Here is a 21338-nt window from a genome sequence, read left to right as displayed (position 1 = left end):
GGTGGATGGATAAAAAGAGTTGAAGTGCTAAACGCAATACTGAGAAAATGATCGGGGTTAGAAGGCAAGAGATGAATGGCTGAAGGCAGAACTTGGGGCAATTTGAGCCCTGAAACAAAAGGGCAACACAGGTTGGGGAGCAGATTCCCTGTCAGCTGAGAGACTGCTAGTGGGAGGACATGAAGCAGAGTGAGTGCTCTCTGGAGGAACAGCAGTGAACAGGAGTCAACGCATTGGCCAGAATCATGGATAGGGGCTGGATGTGAACAGAAAGACTAGAAAGTTCACGGGTACACTGGTTACTCTTTCCCATGAGATATTTGGTCCTCAGAGTCTAGTAATTATGCTAATATGGCCTGGGACAGAAAATTGCTACTTTGTTAGTGTTAGTTGATTGTTATAGTACAGGCTGGTACAACCTTGAATATTTTCCCTAAATTAAAACTTTAAAAAAATTATTGGTCATTAATTATAATACATTTTCCTTTCATACTTCCTCTGAGTCCCCAGCATTGAAGGAGCAGCAGTACTCTGGAAGGAAGCAAATAAACTTTCTTGTATCATCAACTTCCATAAAACAGGAAACATTTCTCTCCAAATTTTATCATTGTGTCACTCCTCTGCGATTATCTACTGCATTATTCAAGACAGAAATTGAATTATTTCATTTTTATTAGTGATAACTTATTTTAACATGTTATTTTAATTCAGAGATTACTCAAGGAGGTTGCAAATAATTTCTACTGAAATAAAATGCCTTGGCACGTATAAGAATTATAAAACTGTCTTGTTGAAATCCTCTACTCTCTTGGATACTTTAAGCCAAATTTAATTGATCTTTTTAGGTGGAACAATTCATCTTTCCATATTATCACTGGTCTTTACTAGAACTTCATCTTTATTTATTTATTTATTAATTATTATGATTTTTTTTTTTTTTGAGACGGAGTCTTGCTCTGTCACCCAGGCTGGATGCAGTGACGTGATCTCTGCTCACTGCAAGCTCCGTCTCCTGAGTTCAGGCCATTCTCCTGCCTCAGCCTCCCAAGTATGTGGGACTACAGGCACCTGCCACCACGCCCAGCTAATTTTTTGTATTTTTAGTAGAGATAGGGTTTCAGTGTGTTAGTCAGGATGGTCTCAATCTCCTGACCTCGTGATCCACCTGCCTCGGCCTCCCAAAGTGTTGGGATTACAGGCATGAGCCACCGCACCTGGCCTTCATCTTTATTTTTAACTAAGATATATTATGTATTCTTCACACAAAAATTTCTGTGATGCTGTGTGCCTTCAGGAGATAAAATAGCAAATTAGTACTATCCCAGAAAAATTTCTGCTTTACTAAGCCATCAAACAGTAATATATTGGAATGTTAGTCAGAATTTATTGATTCATTAATTCCATTTCCCCTCAAAAAATCAAGAAAAAGCAATTTTCAAACATTTATTAGGTTCATGCTATTTGAGTCTCTTCTCTGTTTTATATGTATAGAAGTTTTAATATATCTACAATCAAGTCTATCAATCTCCAATTATGATTTTTGCCTTTGATGTCATGTTAGACAAGATTATGAAATTATTTGCCAATCTATTTTCCTCCAGTTATGTCTCTGTCATTGTTCTGCTTTTATCAATCTGACAAGTATTTGTATATTGTATAAATAAAATATCCAAATTTACATGTTTTCCTAACATTAACTAATTATTGTTGTTGTGCTTTTTGAATAGTCATTACTTTCTCCATCAACATGAAATGTGGTCTTTCTTATGCATTACTTTTACATGTGCTTTGATCTGTTTGGGGAATTCTCAAACTGATTTGGCTTCTCTAAGTTTCTGTATTAGTAAATAGTACCACACAATTTTAATAATTGTAACTTTTTAATATGCTTTAATACTGGGAAATAGCAAGTTTCAACTTTCTTCTTTTTTCAAAAATATGCCTTTTCCAGACTGTCCATACTTCCAAATGAATTTTAATAATCATTTTGCCAAGATCTCTCCCAAATCCTTTTTTGGATTTTAAATGAAATTGTACTAACTTTATAAATTAATTTGAGGAAGCTAACGTGTACAACATCTATTATTCTCATCCAAGAATACAATATAAACCTTCATTACTGCTATTTTTTCTTTCTGCATAACATACTTAACAGCCAATTGTTTATCTTATGTTTCTCAATAGATGTTATTTTCTTAAGTCTTGTACATTTCTTTAATAGTTTATTCATAGCTATATAATATTTAATTGTTATGATGAGATTTTTAAATGTTTTTTATTTGTTGCTGTCATAGAAAAATCAACTGATTTTTACACATTTATCTTTTGTATAGTTACTTAACAAAGTTCATTACCCTAATGGTTCTTCAGTTAATTCTCTTGGGATTTTTAGTAAAATATATATTTTTAGCAAAAATATAACATTTTTTCTAATAATTATAACCTTTGAGAGGCAGCACAACATGGTATTTATGATTAAAGACTCATAGATCAAACCACATGAGTTTTAATTCAGCTCTGCTACTTATTAGCTTCATGACCTTGGCCTTGTTACTTAGCATCTCTTGGCCTCAGCTTCCTAATTTGTAAAATAGAATGATAGTAGTCCATATCTCCTAGGGTTGTTGTGAGGATTAAATGAGTTAATATTTGTAAAGCATTTAGAATAGTTCCTAGCATATATAAGAAAAATGAAGAAAATATTAGTCTTTTAAAACATTTATTGCGTTGGTTAAAATTTGTTAAATGATATTAATTATAAGTGATGAAATTGGTCATGTAGTAAGCCACTAGGGTTTTTCTGCTTTCTTGAAATCAGAAAGCAGAAGTTTTATATTTTAATGACATCTCTCTATTCCTAAATTACTATGCTACATGTATGTGTGGTTTCTTAAAAGTAATATAGTTGCATTTTATCAAATGTCATTTGAAATCTATTTGGAAGTTAAAATAGGGGTTTTATTCCTCAGTCTAAGACTATGAAATCACTTTAATAAGTTTCCTGATACTAAACCACTTTAACATTCCTAGAATAAACACCATGTGTTGTATTCTATTTTATTGATGTCTACATTATTTAGCTAGTATTTCAATGAATTTTTATGATTTTCTTTTTTGTGATACTTTTTTTAGTTTTTTTTTTTTTTTACTTTTTTGGTATTGTGCTTCTTATTAAATAAATCAGAAAAATGTTTTCTCTTTCAAAGAATTCATAGAATATAGGGATAATTTGTTCCTTAAGAGTGTATATTTCTAGTAATTGATTATAAATAGCTGATGAAAATAAGATACTATAGTCACTTAAACGTAGTGTTTTAGCTCCCATCAAACATTTCTATTCAAGCTGGTCAAGGACATAGGCTTATGCTTCCGACAAAATTAGGCTCAAGTCTTAACTCACCACCCACTTGCTAAATGTGTGCATTTGGCAAGGTATGCTTGTATCACAGGAAATAACCATGCCTTCCTTACCTTCCTCATAGAGTTACTGTAAGAATTAAAGAAGATTATGCTTATAAATCACTGTATACTCAGCCCACAATATAGACCCAATAAATTATTTTATGTTAGTTTTAATTTTCCTTAAGTACAAAATTAATTCGTATTATAATTCTACTTATTTTGTTCTAGTATGGAGATTCTAGTGGTTTATGTAGAAATATAAATGGTTTGGGTAAAATTATTTGTGTGAAATTATTTTATAATAAAAGTAGGTTTCAATTAAGACATGCTATTCTTTTTTTTTTTTTCTTTGAGATGGAGTCTCGCTCTGTCACCCAGGCTGGAGTGCAGTGGTGTGATCTCGGCTCACTGCAAGCTCCGCCTCCCGGGTTCACACCATTCTCCTTCCTCAGCCTCCTGAGTAGCTGGGAATACAGGCGCCCGCCATCACACCCGGCTAATTTTTTTGTATTTTTTTATTTTTAGACATGTTGACATAAATTTAAATTTTCACATCAAAGTAAAAATGCTCTGATGAGCCATGGGAATGAACCTATTGCCAATGTTAAATGAAATCACAGAGGGTTAATGGGAAAGTTGTACACTGGTTTTAAGAAGACCAGGCAATGAGCCTAAACCAAATGTTATGTCTTCCACTCCTTCCTGCTTCCCTGGAGTTGTGTTCTAGTAGGAATCTGAGAGGGGGAGAAGAACTTTGGAGCCTTCCCTCAGGCTGCAGCTGACCTTGGGTTCTCTTGCTCTGTCATCTAAGCTGCAGTGGAGAAGCAAGGTTCTCACTCTGGGTAGGAGAATGTAGCACTAAGGGGTCCAGGTGCCCTCAAATACAAGTTTTACCAAGCTGATAACATTTATTTATTTATTATTTATTTATTTTTATTATACTTTAAGTTCTGGGATACATGTGCAGAATGTGCAGGTTTGTTGCATAGGTATACACGTGCCATGGTGGTTTGCTGCACCCATCAACCCGTCATCTACATTAGGTATTTCTCCTAATGTTATCCCTCCCCTTGCCCCACACTCCCTGACAGGCCCCGGTGTGTGATGTTCCCCTCCCTATGTCCATGTGTTCTCATTGTTTAATCCCTACTTATGAGTGAGAACATGCAGTGTTTGGTTTTCTGTTCCTTGTTACAAACTGATAATATTTTTATGAAATACTAATAAGACTGCAATATGAATGTGGCCTCAATTTTCAAAGGATGCACTACTGTGTAGGCAAGTATGAATATATACAGATATCTGTCATAGATAGATGGATAGATAGATAGATAGATAGATAGATAGATAGATAGATAGATAGGACAGATATCTGTGAGATACCAGCACACAAAAACCTGTCTCTCAAACAAGTATTAACTTGAGGTTTATGTTCACCTATTAGTGTCATCAAGAATATTTAATTGTAGGTACTGATTATAATTCTATTACTATGGTCTCTGAGGAGAGTAGTAATAAGAAAAGCAGTCAGTTTATAAGACCTGATAGGCAGTATGAATTTCTCTTCTATTTTAAAGGCTATAAATTTCAAAATACTATTCTGATGGGCTAGCTGCCTCTATAAGAACCATTTAAGTAGGCACAGCTAAGAGTGGAAATATCAAACCAAGCTCACTTATCCCTGGCAGATATGAGTTGAAAATGTGTATCTCAAGGTCCCAGTATGTATCGTTTGCTATTAATTAGAAATTAACAATATATTCTATCAATCTTATATTAAACTACATTGTTTTCTAAAATGAAGATATCCCACCTTACATTTTCTTTGCTGTCATCTGGCTTTATAGCAACAAATATATTTTTAGGAACATCTTCAATATATTATTCCATATGTTCCAAGATCAATGGAACAAAAATATACTTACTCCTATCTTTCCTGTCCCTGGCACAGGGTTTTCTGCTTCTCCCAGAGTTATCTTGATGAAGTGTCTTTTCAGTATAGCATGACTCCTGAAGGAAACAAAGGCAGGAACAGATTTATTAAGATAAACATCTCCAGTTGCTTGTCTCTTGCAAAAAAGAACAAGTTGTTCCTTAGACAAAAAAGTCTAACTTAGTGACCAAATGTCACATGTTGTTAAAACAACATTCATTGTCTTTTTTATTCCTTTTCCCAAATTGTTTTATTCAGTTTCTCTGATAGCAAGAGCAGGACAAATTTTCTTGAGTAAGCAGCTCCATACACCCAGATAAATAAGGAATGTATTTCTTTGTATTATTTTGTTCACCATTCAAACACATCAATTGTATTCTGAGCAGTCTTTCTCATGTTTTGCTCTAAAACTGTGTAACATGAACAGTCAGAGACATTCTTACTAAATAGTAAAATAAACAAGAAAGCAAGATTTTTTTTTAGATTTTCAAATTTCCATTGAAAATAGATTCACTAGGTGAATGATAGCCTTTCTCAAATGTGTGCTTTAAAAAGCAATATATCCCTGCAACCGTTCATCTTTGAATTTAAATACCAAGGAGCAAGGACATTGTTTTCCTCAATCACAAGATCTAGTGATTGGAATTTTTGGAGAGAAATGAATCCAGTAAAATCCAGTCTACGCATAATGCCTCACCATCTAGAGGTAATCTAACATTTTGCTATGAATAGGTAGCCAATCAACTTGCATATTTTTTGCAGATCATATTCTTTTAGGTATTTATATGTAAAAAAGTCCCCATTTAAAAACTAGTTATTAGCTTTAAATAGCTGGAAAACAACCTAGTTATTTTCATTTATGTATATACTTCTGTGGAGGTGGCCACAGCTGATCACTGGGTTAACCAGACGCCCTTTCACTCAGGCAGTCTACATATTTGAGCAGACACATAGTAAATGCTTAGATGTTAAAAATGAATGAGCCATGTTTCTTTCATTTTATGAAGATCATCTGTTTCTTTTTCTAGATGTGAGGCCAGTAATGTCAACATTCCTCTGCTTGTATACTAGGGTTATTCAGAGCAGGGAAGAGTCTAGTTTTATATTATGCATTCAAGGATCAACGTTGTCTGCTGTCTTCTCTTCCCTATTCCTTTCTAATAAACCATCAAATTCTATCTATTCCAGGCTCTTAATGTTCTTCAATTCACTCTTCATTCCAATTCCATTTGCATGGGCAAATCTAGTTCAACTCTCCCCAGCCATAGCTTCTTCCATTCCACCCATTCTTCCAGGGGTTATGACATTTCTCACCAGTATCCCTGCCTGAGTCATTCCCCTTCGAATCCATCCTCCACACACCTTTCACACTGGGACAGTAACTGAACTTCCAATTTGTATAAAACCCAAGAACTATACGTGGTGGAGATATTTCACTATGATTCTCAAATAAAGTATCTTTTTCCCCAAATGTCAACATCATTATGTTAGCCACTCTAAGTTAGTTTTCAAATAGTTTGATTACTCTCTCCTTTGCTTCTCACATAGCTTACAAATGCACTGGTAAAAGAATGTCCTAAGGGCATTGCAACATATAGGCAGAAGCACTGAACTCAGTTCTAGTTTCAACTCATCTATTTATCAGCTGGTGATTTTGAGGAGTCATGTCCTTTCCTGGAGGTGAATGACAGACCTTTGTTCATCAAATGGCATAATAATATTAATCCTGCCTGTCTCTCCAGGTTGTTCTGACATTTAAAGAAGATCACATACAATGAAATTCCAAATATACGGTTATTACGCTCCCTGAAGATCTGCAGAAGTATAAACTTGCTTCCTTTGTTTAACACTAAATTCAGATTGAGACCCAAGAGGTATCTGTGATCACACTCTTAAGTCTTACAGCTTTCTTTTGGAAATGTGATGTTCTAAAGAGTTTGTTTTGGCTTCCCAAAAAAAAGAGCACCAAAGGAATTACACTGTAATATATTTGGATGTCAAAGACATTCTGAATCTAAAAAAGTGAGAAAAAGGAAAGGGAGCTCAAAACAGTGACAAATCTCAATTGGCTGAACCTGCCATTTAATTAAAATAACTCGACTGCCATATGTGGCACAGATATTAATGCCATCTTTTTCAAACTCTGCTAATATCTCCAGACATTACTGGACACTAATAGAAAATATGTCCCTATTCTCTGTCATTGTGTTGTAGAGTTTTAAATGAAAGAAATGTAGAGTGTGTGTAATAGGATGTTTGTTTGTTCTGTTTCCAAAGAGGAAATAAAAGATATCAACCAAATATTCCTTAATATATAATTAGCACTGTGGCCTCAGCTCAAGGAAGTCTTTATTTTAGACATAAAAACGACAAAAAATGCTGCTAATCCATGCTTTCCTCTCCTTCAACCCCTGAGTTCTCATGAGCATCCCATCTGCTGGTTTCCAGGTAACTTTTATATGGGCTTTTGGATGAGCATTCATTGCAAATACTTTTGGATGATACTGATTATCCTACTTAACCTCTTTACTGTTTTAGATCACTGGGTAATTAGCCAAACAGTATACTGAGGATCATAAACTGAAAAGAAACAGATATAGCATATCCGTGCAGTACCGATTTTATCAGGCTGATGGATTGAAAATGGTAATTTTAATAGTGCTTTTTAAAAATTATAGTTAAAATCATATAAAATGTATCATAATCATTTTTAAGCATATAGTTCAGTATTCCTCATTATATTCATATTGTTATACAACCAATCTCCACAACTTTTTTGTCTTGCAAAACTGAAATTTCATACCCATTAAACTACCACCTCCATTTCTCTTTTCAAAACCCCTGACAACCATCATTTTACTGTTTCTATAAATTTTACTATCTAGTTTTATAAGTGGAATCATATAGTATTTGTCTTTTTGTGACTAGCTCATTTCACTTAGCATAATGTTCTCAAAGTTTATCTATGTGGCAGCAAGTGCCAGAATTTCTTTCCTTTTTTAGGCTGAATAAAGCCTTAAATAAAAATACTCTGATGTATATATTGTATTTTGTTTATGTATTCATCCATCAATGGACACTTGAGTTACTTTCACCTTTTGAATATTATAAATAATGCTACTATGAACATGAGTGTACAAATATCCCCTCAACACCCTGCTTTCAAATCTTCTGGATATATACACAGAAGTGGAATTGCTAGGTCCTATGATAATAGTATTTCTTTTTAACATATTTTTTTACAATAGTTTTGATTTACAAAAAAAAATTTGAAGATAGTACAGAAAGTTCTTATACTGTTCCATACCCAGTTTCCCCTATTATTTGTATCTTACATTAGTATGGTACATTTATTACAATTAATGAACTAACATTGATATGCTATTGTCAACTAAATCCCATACCTGATATCTCTTTAGTTTTTATCTGACGCCCTTACGGTATTTCAGAGTGTCATTTAGGATACCGCATTACGTGTAGTCATAATGTTTCCTTTTTACTGTGACATTTTCTTAGACTTTCCTTGTTTTTAATGACCTTAATAGTTTGACAGATATTTTGTAGAATGCCTTTCAATTGGGATTTGCCTGGTGTTTTTCTCATGATTAGACTGTGGCTATGAGATTTTGGGAGGAAGACCACAGAGGAAAAGTGCCATTTTCATCACATCATATCAAGGGTCTATAATATCAGTATGGCATCACTACCGATGTTGACCTTGATGAGATAGTGTTTGTCAGGTTTCTCCACTGAAAAGTTAGTCTGTCTCCTGCTGCTTTCCTCTGTATTTTTGGGAAAGAAGTCACTATGTGTAGCCCACAATTAAGAAGAAAGGAGTTATTTTCTACCTCTTTGAGGATGTTGTGTCTACTCAAATTATTTGGAATTTTTCTGCACAAGAGATTTATCTCTTCTCATTTATTTATGTATTCAATTATTTATTCATAATGATATGAACTCATGATAGATATTATATTTTATACTTTGGATTATAATCCAATAGTACTTTATTATGCTCTGCAAATTGTTCCAGATTGGGTCATCATTAGCTCTTTCAGTTGGCGCCTGTAGTACTTTTCCTGTTAATGCAATACATATTGCATTATCTATCACCACTCAATATTTCAGCCTTGACATCTAGCATATAGCTCTATCTGGGTAACACAACTGAGAAAAGCCTTATTCAAGTACAATGAAAGACAGAGAGTATTATGAAGCAGTTGTAATGGACATTGTGGTGTGCCACCAGCTGCCCCCTTCAGGACTGAACCATTCATTTCCCCAGCTGATTATTGGTGGTTGATGGCCCTCAACTGAAACCTTCCAATTACGAGTTACTGCAGGGCATAAAGAACCTGCACTGAGCCCTCATTTGGACTGATTCTGAGGGCACATCCCAGCTGCTGAGTTCCCCATGGAATCAGCTTTCCCCTCTACCCAGGAATGTTTCCTGTATACACAAACAACACTAGGTAACCTCTAGTAAGGGAGATAAGGTGAAAGTCAGCATACTGAACACATGCAACTGGAAAGAAATTGGTTACAGAGAGGAGAGAATTTAAATTGTGAAAAATGTTGTGAGTCAGGTCAGGCTAGGTTATAAGGAATCCTGAAAGCCAGGCAAAAGGCTTAAGATTGAATTAGCAGGCAATAAGTCTAACTGGGGGTGCAGTCCAATAAAGTATGATGTAGCCATAGGAAGAAATAGTATCTAGATATAAGAAACCAGAAATTGTAGCTAACATTTATACTAGCTATTAATGCACAGGGCATACTTTGTATCCACTATGTCATTAAATCTTCATTACAACTATTAAGATCTCAATTTTGCAAATGACAAAACTGAAGCTCAAAAATATTCAGTAACTTACCCAAGATCACATAGCTAAGAAGCCCACTGGAGAGATTCAGACTTTGCTCTGTATTACTCTTAAAGTAATGCTATTCAACTCAGCAAGTCTTAAAGAATATGTAATCATAAGACATGGCAAATGTTTCATAAATGTTAAATGAAAGAACTGGAGGCCGGGCGCGGTGGCTCACGCCTGTAATCCCAGCACTTTGGGAGGCCGAGGTAGGCGGATCACCTGAGGTCGGGAGTTTGAGACCAGCCTGACCCACATGGAGAAACCCCATCTCTACTAAAAATACAAAATTAGCCGGACTTGGTGGCGCATGCCTGTAATCCCAGCTACTTGGGAAGGCTGAGGCAGGAGAATCGCTTGAACCTGGGAGGTGGAGGTTGCGGTGAGCCAAGATTGCGCCATTGCACTCCAGCCTGGGCAAGAGCAAAACTCTGTCTCAAAAAAAAAAAAAAGAACTGGATACACTCGATATACAATAGAATCACAATTTTGTTTTTTAAAAGTATATATGTTAATCCCATACATAACAAAATATGAATGTTTTCTGTAAGATGATATACAGTTAAAATCTTGTATGAGTTTACTTATTTATTTTCCTTATTTTATATATTTTATAAATTAAATCATGTTCTTTTCTAATCAGAAATAAATTAATGATATTTTATAAAAAGAAGTTTTCTTTATCAGTAAATGAGGGATGACCATGAAAGTGTCTATGTTACGTCAAGAAAGGATGTAGAACAATTAACTGTCTGTGAGACTGAAGAAAAATGAATGAAGGCCATTTGGGGTAATAAGCCAAGTGTTTTAGTTTGTGACTAAAAGCTGACAAATGTGAAAGATGTCAAAAGAATTTATGCCAGGGTTGATTGTTGATTTGGGTAGGGAGAAAAAAGAGTCAGATACACCCCAGGAATTATCCAGAAAAGGAAGAATTGGCAAGAAAAGTTGGAAGGAACATGATGAGTTCAAATTAAGACATTCAGGTATTCAGTGAGTGTGATTCAACCAAGAAGGGCTTATCCAATAGGCAGATGGGAAACAATATTAACAGTAAATACACTCAATTGATCAAATCCAGGGGAGTAAATCAGGGAGTAACTTATGAAGTGATACATTTGAACTCATGCATTTAAACAAGCCAACAAAAGTGTAGAAATTAATTATAGAAAGAGAAGAGCAGAGTGCTAGGACTAAAACCCACAGGAGTTAAAATTTGGTGAGATGATTTTTTTTTCTTTTTTTTTTTTGGAGACGGAGTCTAACTCTGTCGCCCAGGCTGGAGTGCAGTAGGCACAATCTCGGCTCACTGCAAGCTCCGCCTCCCGGGTTTACGCCGTTTTCCTGCCTCAGTCTCCTGAGTAGCTGGGACTACAGGCGCCCGCCAGCACGCCCAGCTAATTTTTTTTTTTTTTTTTTTTTTTAGTAGAGACGGGGTTTCACCGTGTTAACCAGGATGGTCTCAATCTCCTGACCTCGTGATCCACCCACCTCGGCCTCCCAAAGTGCTGGGATTACAGGCGTGAGCCACCGCGCCCGGCCGAGATGATTGTTACTCAGAGTTTAGAAAATTTAAATTGTCCTTTGAATTGCATAGCTGTTATCAGGTAAAGAAAAACAACTCTCAATGTGGTATAATTTTTATTTGAAAGTTATCATCTCATATTAAGAAGGATCTGTGTGTTCATTCGTTCATTCATTCATATATTAAAAAACAATATTTACTGAGTGCTTCCTTTGTATGAGAACTTGTACAAGTGGTGATAAAATGTGGTTGTTTGGATCCCTTGGCCACATAGGGCTAGCAATAAATAGCAAAAGATTAACACAAATAGACCACACAAAAAACATTCTGCTTCATCTGTCCAGAATGCACATTTCCTTTTGCTCTTCCTGGAAGGCTGTGGGCCATCCTTAATGGCCCAACTCAAATGCCGCATCTTCTGTGAAGCTTTAGGAATTGTTCCAGATTGTTATTAATCATAATCTCTGCCCCAAAATCATTCTTCTTATGACTCTCTGATGCTTTCTGTTACAGCTGTGTTTGATAGTCTTCCCCAGAGCGTGTGAACATCTTGAATGGCAATGTTTTATTCAACTATCTGCAGGACTTAGGACAATATACTGTAGGTATTCAATAAGTGATCATTGAATGGAAATTCATAAATCTTTACTCGTATTAGCAAAAGGTAAATAATAACTTTAAAGAATATTTGCAAATGTGTTTTACACTCACTTTTGCTCCATAAAGTTCAAAAAGGATGAATTTATACAGTTGTGAAAATATGAACCACTAAAGTATATTGATTAGTAAGTGTTCACAACAAAATTAGCATTATTGTATTCAACTGATTTACCTACTATTAATTTTTCATTTCATTGACTTCTAATCTATCTCTATCTATCTATCTATCTATCTATATTTTGAAATTGGATCTCTCTCTGTCACCCAGGCTGAAGTGCAGTGATGCAATCCTGGCTCACTGCAGGCTTGACCTTCTGGGCTCAAGTGATCCTCCCATCTCAGCCTCCTGAGTAGCTGGAATTTCAGGCCCATGCCACAACACCTGACTAATTGTTGTATTTTTTGTAGAGATGGAATTTGTCCATGTTGCCCAGGCTGGTCTCAAACTCCTGGGCTCAAGCTAAGCACCTGCCTAGGCCTCCCAAAGTGCTGGGATTACAGGTATGAGCCACTGAAGCTGGCCAATCTAATCTGTAGTCTATTTCTTTCCCTATTATATATGCTTGATTTCTACAACTGTGACAGTTTTTAAACTAACCTTGGCAACTGCTACATTTTCATAGCTTTTTAAAAAAAGTTAATTAATTAATTAATTATTATTATTATTATTTTTGGAGACAGAGTCTTTCCGTTGCCCAGGCTGGAGTGCAGTGGGGCAATCTCAGCTCACTGCAACCTCCGCCTCTCAGGTTCAATCGATTCTCCTGACTTGGTTTACCAAAGTCTTGGGATTAAAGGCATGAGCCACCAAGCCAGGCCCCATAGCTTTTTAATTTACATAAAATTGCAAATAACCTGCTTTATACATTCATGGGCAAATTTTTTATCTACCATGTGGTAGATACAATGGAGGAAACACAGACCCACTTTTGTGGAAAGAAGGGTTAGAACTAGACTAGTTGATTTAAAAATATACAGAAATGACCAAAATCCAATTTATCTGAAATTTTTTATTCAAGTACTAAAAGCCTCAGCAGGTGAAGAATGAATAAAAAGGAACTGATAAAAATGACGAAGAATTAGAGATATATTCATCTTTCAGGTATCAGTTTATACAAGTAGTTAAACATCTCATCTAATTGTCTTCTTAGATTCAAGTCAAAACCATAAACATTTTTAATAGGCAAGGTAAAATCAGGTTTTCTTAATTAAAAAGGTAACATCTGCATTGCGCAACTGCTTTTACATAGTAGTTTAGTAAAGTTGACTCAAAGTCTTAAAAATGTTGACAAACTTTAACCCATTAATTCCACTGTGAAACTCCTTTCACACTTCAGGTCCCCAGGATAAACCTCTTTTTACTTTGCTACTGTCAGGAGGAAAAGGAGATAAAGGGATTTTGACATTTAATAAACACCTGTTCTGTATCATGAACCTTAGTAGACACCTTGCATTTTAGTCCACTTAATCATTGCAATTAGTCTATCACAGAGTGGATCTTTTGCAAAGCTTAAAGATAGTGAGATGCATCCCTAAGATCACACAGCTAATAAGTCCCAGAGCTGGGATTCAAATTCAGCTCTGTTCAACTCTAAAGCCCACAATTAATCCACTACACATCATGGTGCCTCACAATATTCTTGGACTTTTGATCTGGATTTTATATATATTTTCTCCTCTATATGATTTTTCTCTTATGATTAAATGACCATTCCTTGATACTTAATATTTTGCTTTATATCTCAAAGCTCTAAGAAATATGAATGTTTTTGGAGAATTGACTCAAAAGCAGTTCATAGACGTGTTCATTACCTCTAAGTTTTCTTTTAAGTTTTAAGGATTTCCTCTTCCTTTATATCTTATATCAAAGACAATATGTCTTCACATCTTATACTGGAGAGAAACAAGAGTGCTAATATGCCCCCTGAATTTATGTTTCATGTTCATAGAATGTGATGGATATAAAGAAGCTTGATCAAAAAGGTTTCCTGCTATGGACTATGGCCCAAAGAATAAAATAAGCAAAACTTGTTACCTAAATGATTTTGTAATATTCAACCTTTTGCATTCTTTCATCATACCATTATAACTTACAAACATGTTTGCTTTGGATTTTGATTAAGTTGCCCTCCTGAAATAATTTGGTACTTACAATATATTGTCATGTTTGAGAACATGGATTCTGAAGACAGACTTAATGATTATAAATCTTTACTGTGTACACTTGGCCAAGTTACTTAAACTTTCTGGAACAGTCTAGACTTCCCTATAAGTAAAAATATCTATAATAATAGTATTTACCACATAGAGTTGTTAGGAGGTTTAAATGACATACTGAATTCTTGTCACAAAGAATAATGCCTGGCACATATTGTGTTTAATATGTTTTAGATTTATTAATACTCTTACACAAGAAAGATAAACAGATTGCTCCTGCCAATGAAATATATGATAGAAACAGTAAAAAAAAAAATCACTCTTAAAAGTAGCTTTCAGTATATCTTAGAAAAAAACTTAATTGTTCTATTACTATTTAGGTAATACCTTAGAAATAACTTGAATTGAATGATCTTCAACATATTTGTGTATATGTATGCGTGTAAAGTGTCTGGGTGCAAGGCTTGAGGGAAATTTTCAAGTTTTTAAGTATTTTTTTAATAATGTAGATCCTACAGAGAGTACAGATCTCAAAGCCAACAAAGAGGCTTCCCTTTTGTATACAGAACAGAGCCATGCCTCCTCACCCTTTGAATCAGTAGGCAAACAGTTACAGCCCAAGGCCAGAAGTACTGAATAAAAAAGTGGTGGGAGGGAAAGAGCTGGCAAGATTATTTCTCACATCTGACAAGGCACATTTCTCTACTCCACATTTTAGCCTTTGATGCAACTGTGCATTACTTCAACATACTGATGATGTTATGTCTTGATCTTTAAAATATGTGCCTGGATCTTAAGAAGAACCCATTGCTCAACACTGGCAGAACTCAGTCTTCCTTACAAGAGCTAATTAGTTTCAACTTTTTGTCAACTCTCCTAAAGAGTAATTTATGTGCTGTGTTAAATATTAAAAATAAAATAAGACGTGATCCTTGTGAATTGTTATTTTCTGACCTTTCTACACAGAAAGAAAATTCAAAGAATATCTCAAATATTAGTGGCAAATTCTTTTATCGATATTAAATCAAATACTCTGACATTCAGGCCCACATGACCAAAGTAAGAATTTGCTTGGCGGGTTTTCTCAAACATAAATGTTTGCTCTGGCTTAATAGTGCTAATTGGAAAGTTACGTATTCCATGCAGCATAAAAAATTACTTTGCATTGACCCAGAAAACTCACCTTGCAAATAAGCCTCAAGAAGAAAGAAACTGAAATCAAAGTATTTGAAATGAGAACTCTAGCTGCCAGAACTACCTGCCCTGCCCCAAGTTCATGTTTAATTAAATCTACATCAATAATTCCATAAATCACTTGCACGTTCAGAGAACATAAGTTATCTTCTCTGATTCTAAGGTCAGATACTTACTAAGAACCCTCATGCCTGTGGGGATGTTTGGCACCCTGCCAGACTGTACTACTTCTCCGGTAGGGGTGAGCCCCCACTACTGCAAAATGCCATGGGGGATGAAGCACCACTAGAGCATTGGTTGCTGAGCAACAACCCCTTATGACTGATCCATGGGGACTGCTAAGCAACAGGGCTGCGTCTGACCTAGCTGTTCCCAGTGCACCCCCAGCTCACTGTCTCTCAAGAGGGCCAGGTTAACAAGGGGTCAGGGGCCCTAAGTGACTGGTTACATAATCTATACACACACTTTTCGGAATGTTCTCCAATGATAGCTAAATAAAAATCAGAGCAGAGCTAGTTCCTACCTAAAGGATACCCTTGAATGTATCCTTCATTTAAACTCTATCCTTGAATCTTTGGAGTAGCTGTCAGAAAAACTAAAGCATCAGAACTAAAATCTTTGGCAAAAATAGTCTAAGTATTTACAAAAAAAAAATGAAGAAGGCTGTTCCTTTTAAATTATGACTTTGAAAGTTTCCATAATTTTATAGAATTTTGCTATTTACCGAGTTTGTGCTAACACAAAAAAATGGGGAAAAACATAATTTAAGAGTTAAATCACATGATTCTTATGGCAAACTTATTCCTAAAATATTTTAACACATAACTCGTGTTTAAGTACAGCAATTTCTAGGAAGGGCCTTCAATTATCCACAGTTAAACCCACACTTTATATCTTTAGTCTTGACTTCTCCTTAGTTCCACACACCCTAACTCAAATTCAACAAATCTAAATTAGTCATGCTTCTTTAATCCATATGTGACTTACTTCTTAGAAGGCAACCACCGAGTCAATCCATCTAAAAATTTACCCACTCAGAACTTGAGTCCAGCCCTCCCCATATTTCCTCTAATATCCTTTACTTCTCTGTAATGGAGGAAGAGACATGTGCTCTGAGGGACATGGGCTTTCAGCCAGTACACCACTGTACAAATAAGATTCCATTTTTCCTGTAATTTGAAACGTTCAATCAAGTCCAATCTATTTAACATAATAGGCAAAGCACTTCTAAATCTATTTCCTATCAAATTTCCAGCTACATCTCCTGTCACTGTCCCTTAGTGTCCACATTCTATTATGTTGAATTAACTCTAGTTCCCTAAACATATGCTGCACTTTGAGTCTCTTTGCTCTTCCTAGAACACCTTCCCCTTTATGTGGCAAACTAGTGGTTATCTTTCAAGATCTAACAATAGCATCACCTCTACAGAGAAACCATTCCTGATATTAGATTACTTATAACCACCTCTGGACACATCTGTAATTGATTCATACTCCTATGGTGGCTTTCATCACATCGTGTTTGCAGTTATTTACCTATCCAACACTAATCCTGTGCTCTTGAAGGGCTAGAACCTTGTTCAGTTCAACCTGATCTCCTCAGACCTGGCATATTCCTTAGCATCAAGGAGGTATTTATACTATAATTTATTAAGATTAGGGAACGGTACTCCTAGGCAAAATTGTAAAATAAATAAGGATTGGGCATCTCTCTGTTTCTAATCTCATTAATCCCCCCAGAAGCCATTAACCTATAATATCAGAGACAGGTAGTAAAGTAATTAACCAAAAACTACAAAAGTAAATCTCCTGACCTCTAAGCTGGTCTTCTTCCTCCTAAACTGTGATGAGTCATTGTAGGGTAAATAAGCCAATATCCCGCAGTGATCTAATCCATCTGGTAGTAGGTTAAAATGACCAGATTGCTTGTACTCCCTTTATTATAATCATAATAACAAGAAACTCAAGGGAACGACATGGTCAGGTAAGTAAATCATCAAAAGGTGGTCTGGATCTGGTCTCAGGGAAGATAACTTTTCATTCAGATAAGCAAATCTTGAAGTAGTTTATGCAGAAATCTTTGCTGCAACTAAAATAGGGAAAATAATATAAAACAAAACATTTAGAGCTAAACAAAAATCAAAAAAAGGTATTTCAATTTTTAAAAATCCTAATTAAAAATTTACAAAACAGCATTTACTCAACATCTGCCTCCCTCAACATACTAATTAAAAAATTAAATAGGAACACGAGCAAACAAGGCACAAAAATCCATGAATGCAGCAGCCAGGCATAGTGTCACAAAGCCACTCAACCTCTTACCTCACCGCCTCAGGAGCTAGACATGTATAACCACTTTCATGCCTTGTGTGGAACTTCTTGATTCTACACAGATGCTTATGCAACAATATTCTCAAATATTTTGATACTAGCAGTAAACGATTGTCTAAGTTAAACCAAGCAACACAAATTCTGATCAATGGAAAGCTGAATTATTAGCCTATCTGTGTTAAGAAACCAAGAGAGAATTCTTAGTCTATAATGAGCTTTTCGGCTCTATATACTTCTGAGTCTGTGCTTCTTTAACTAGGTTCTCTTCTGAATACATTTGGGAATTCAAAAAAACACACACGACCACATGGTAAGTGAGAGGTCACGATATTGGATGTACATAGGAAGGCACCAGATTTAGGACAGAAGAAGGATGGGAGAAGATGACTGTACACCAATTACTAGAGTGTTCAGAACAGGAGGGGTTTGTTCAGGTGCTAAACCCTCAGCATTGATGATAGAAATGAGAAACGGTAGAGGATGGTATAGCCAGAGTGCTCAAAGGAGCGGAAGTGAGTATAAGAGGGTGGAAAAATATTGTACAGGTGGCATATGGGGGCATGAAGGGAATGTGCCCCCCTCTACTACTCTGAGATTATAAAATTGAAAATAATAAACAGTCTCCAATAGGAAGGGCTTAAGGAGAAGTAAGATACCCAGGGGAGAGTCAAGCTTCAGGGCTAAGGGAAAAGGTGGAAGTTAATAATATAGATTAATTTATTATTATTGAACAGTTGTTCCAGGTAGCATGATGGAATGGTTTTGAAGGAAGAATACAAAGGAGACATTGGGTCAAGGGGGAGGTAGCAAAACATATAACAAAGTTTCAACACAAAGAGAAAAAATGAGCAGGTGAATGATAAAATCAGAGACTTTGAAGCATTTGAAAATTAGCTGTTTTTCAGGACCAACAAAATTATATGTTCCAAAACTGGTAATGTGGTAATTTAGGAAAGCTGGATGCTATGACAAGGGTTATAGAAATTTTTTTCCTTCTAGGGCTCAGGTTGTGAGTGGCAGATGTGGATGAAGGGGGAGCAGTCAAAGAGCCTGCAGTCATGTCTGCATTCTAACGCATTCTAACAGTGGGACAGCTATGAGAAAGGTAAGTTCCAAGGCAGGTGCGGGGGTGAGAAGGCACAGGATGCTATTCAAATCAATGGGGAGGGAATCCATTATAGGACAAATAGCTATAAAAAAAAAAGGCTAGCCATTAAATAATAATAAAATAAGGTAAGATCCCCACTTTATTTCTTACTAAAATAACTGCCAATGGATTAAAATTTTAAATAGAAACAAAAGATGTAAAAAGTACTAAAAGCAAATGTAGGTGAATACTTTTACAAGTGGGAAAGGCCATCTTAAACTTCACAAACTACGTGAGAATAGATTGATAACTTTGACATCCTTAAAAAATTAAGTATCCTACAAAGCAGTGCACCCTAAATCATTAATGGTAAAAAGAAAACATTTAAAATTTGTAAAATAGACATACAAAAGGTTGATATATTTATCAATAAAAAGCTCTTGCAAACAGATTGAAAAAACAGGCAAAGAATATAAAATAACAATTCATAAAAATAACTAAAAATATTCTGCCTCACTACCAATCAAAGAAATACAAATGTAGCTATATTTTCCCACTGATTTCTAAATTTCAAATTTTTGAAACTGTATTAGTATGTTAGTAAAAGTATTATTTTGAATGTAAACTGCACAGGCTTTCTGAAGATATTTTGTAAAATATATCAAAACTCTTTAAAAATTAACATCCTCTGATGCAGCAATTCTATGTCTAGAAATTTATTCAAAGGAATTAATCAAATAGGTGTATATGATGTATCAAAATTATGAACAGAGTTATCTACTATGCTATTGTTTATAAAACTGAATTTGGTAACTTTCTGTAGCGTCACCAGAAAATTAGTTAATGGAGCCATTAAAAAACTGTAATTTATACTAAGATGATTTATTAAGTGGGAAACAGGGAATATGATATGATAATTTTTTGTCTTTTAAAAAGTTATGTGTATGCAAAGAATAATTTTATAGTGATTACTTCTAGTTAGTGGACAAATCAAATATAAATAGACCTTTTTTTTCTTAAAACTATTCTGAAATTTCTGATTTTCATTGCAACGTATATTATCTCTAAAACATTATTAAAAAATGTTAAAGGTTAGGACTTGGTAGTATTTTAAGTGGAAAACATTACTTGCCCAGAAAGTAACATGTGGAATAATTCATTATTATGTAATGATAAAGGGTTGACAAAGAGATGAGACTGAAAGAAAGAAAAAGATGTTTGAGGGTATTTTCATGTCTGTGATTCTTGGTGAAGAATTTATAACAGTAAGCACATACTGCCCTTGAAAAGTTGAATTCTACTTTCAAATACTGCTAATAGCTAAAGTAATGAATTTTAATCGTTTGGGTATGTTTCTCTTTTATTTTGTTTTCTCATTTCTGAGTTAAATCAATGATTACCACAGGGTGCAGTGAAATTAGAATGTAGCCTTTCAGCAAACTAGAAAGTGTTTCCTATCCTTATGATCTGAAATTTTATCTAACCAAAAACTGTTTCATAGGATACTATACATTCTTTTAAGAAATGTTATTTTCTTTAATTTTCTGTTTCTACTCATTTTTACACTGGCAATAGTAATTTTAAGAGGAAGAAATGTAGGATACAAACTGTACACCATTGTTACATTAATGTAAAAAACATCCTTACAAATGTACAAAAACTGGAAGATACCCAATATTAAAACAATTATGGATGCATGTGAGAATTAAAATAAAAAACATCTTGATGTACTTAATAAAGTAAATCTTTTTAACAGTCCTTATGTAAAATAATTCTAGATATACTTAGACATAACCTAAACTGTTGTCATCAAACTTAATTCGTATTTCAGATGAGTCATATTAAAACAAAAACCTACAAAAAGAAAACAAATCAACTGACAATTAAGACCAATAATATTATTGAAAGAAAATATGAAAAGTTTTCATCAAGTTGGGATAAATTAAAATACTTTTTTAAAGAGTTGGTAAAAATAAATATCTATGAGTAAAAACAATGTTTTGTTTCCTCCAGTGTTTCACTGAATACTGAAAGGTTTATTTTTCCTTTCAAAGCATTCAAACCTAGAACCCAAAATATGAATTTCTCAGAGTTGAAACAAACTATGCTGGGTTTTACTTGAAGCTTAATATTCTTTGGCAAAAGTCCACAAGCATCTCAGGGAGCTGACCCAGATCTACCGTG

At 34.8% G+C, this 21338-nt stretch overlaps 1 protein-coding gene across 12 annotated transcripts in view; it reads right to left on the bottom strand.

Annotated features, from left to right (window-relative positions):
• PKIB (cAMP-dependent protein kinase inhibitor beta) overlaps positions 1 to 21338 on the bottom strand; it is a 254453-nt gene that overhangs the window by 87679 nt on the left and 145436 nt on the right. For 11 of the 12 annotated variants that reach the window (NM_001270393.2, XM_047419002.1, NM_001270394.2 and 8 more), the window contains one exon: positions 5328 to 5412. The gene's annotated coding sequence lies outside the window, so the exon portion shown is untranslated. Of the gene's footprint in view, positions 1 to 5327; positions 5413 to 15912; positions 15996 to 21338 lie in introns of those variants that run through there. The other variant, XM_011535932.4, reaches the window with a different exon arrangement.

This window comes from Homo sapiens, chromosome 6 (genome assembly GCF_000001405.40).
Source record: "Homo sapiens chromosome 6, GRCh38.p14 Primary Assembly".
Classification (NCBI taxonomy): Eukaryota; Metazoa; Chordata; class Mammalia; order Primates; family Hominidae; genus Homo; species Homo sapiens.
Note: the sequence above shows the minus strand (reverse complement) of the source record. Positions and strands in the feature narration are given on the sequence as shown.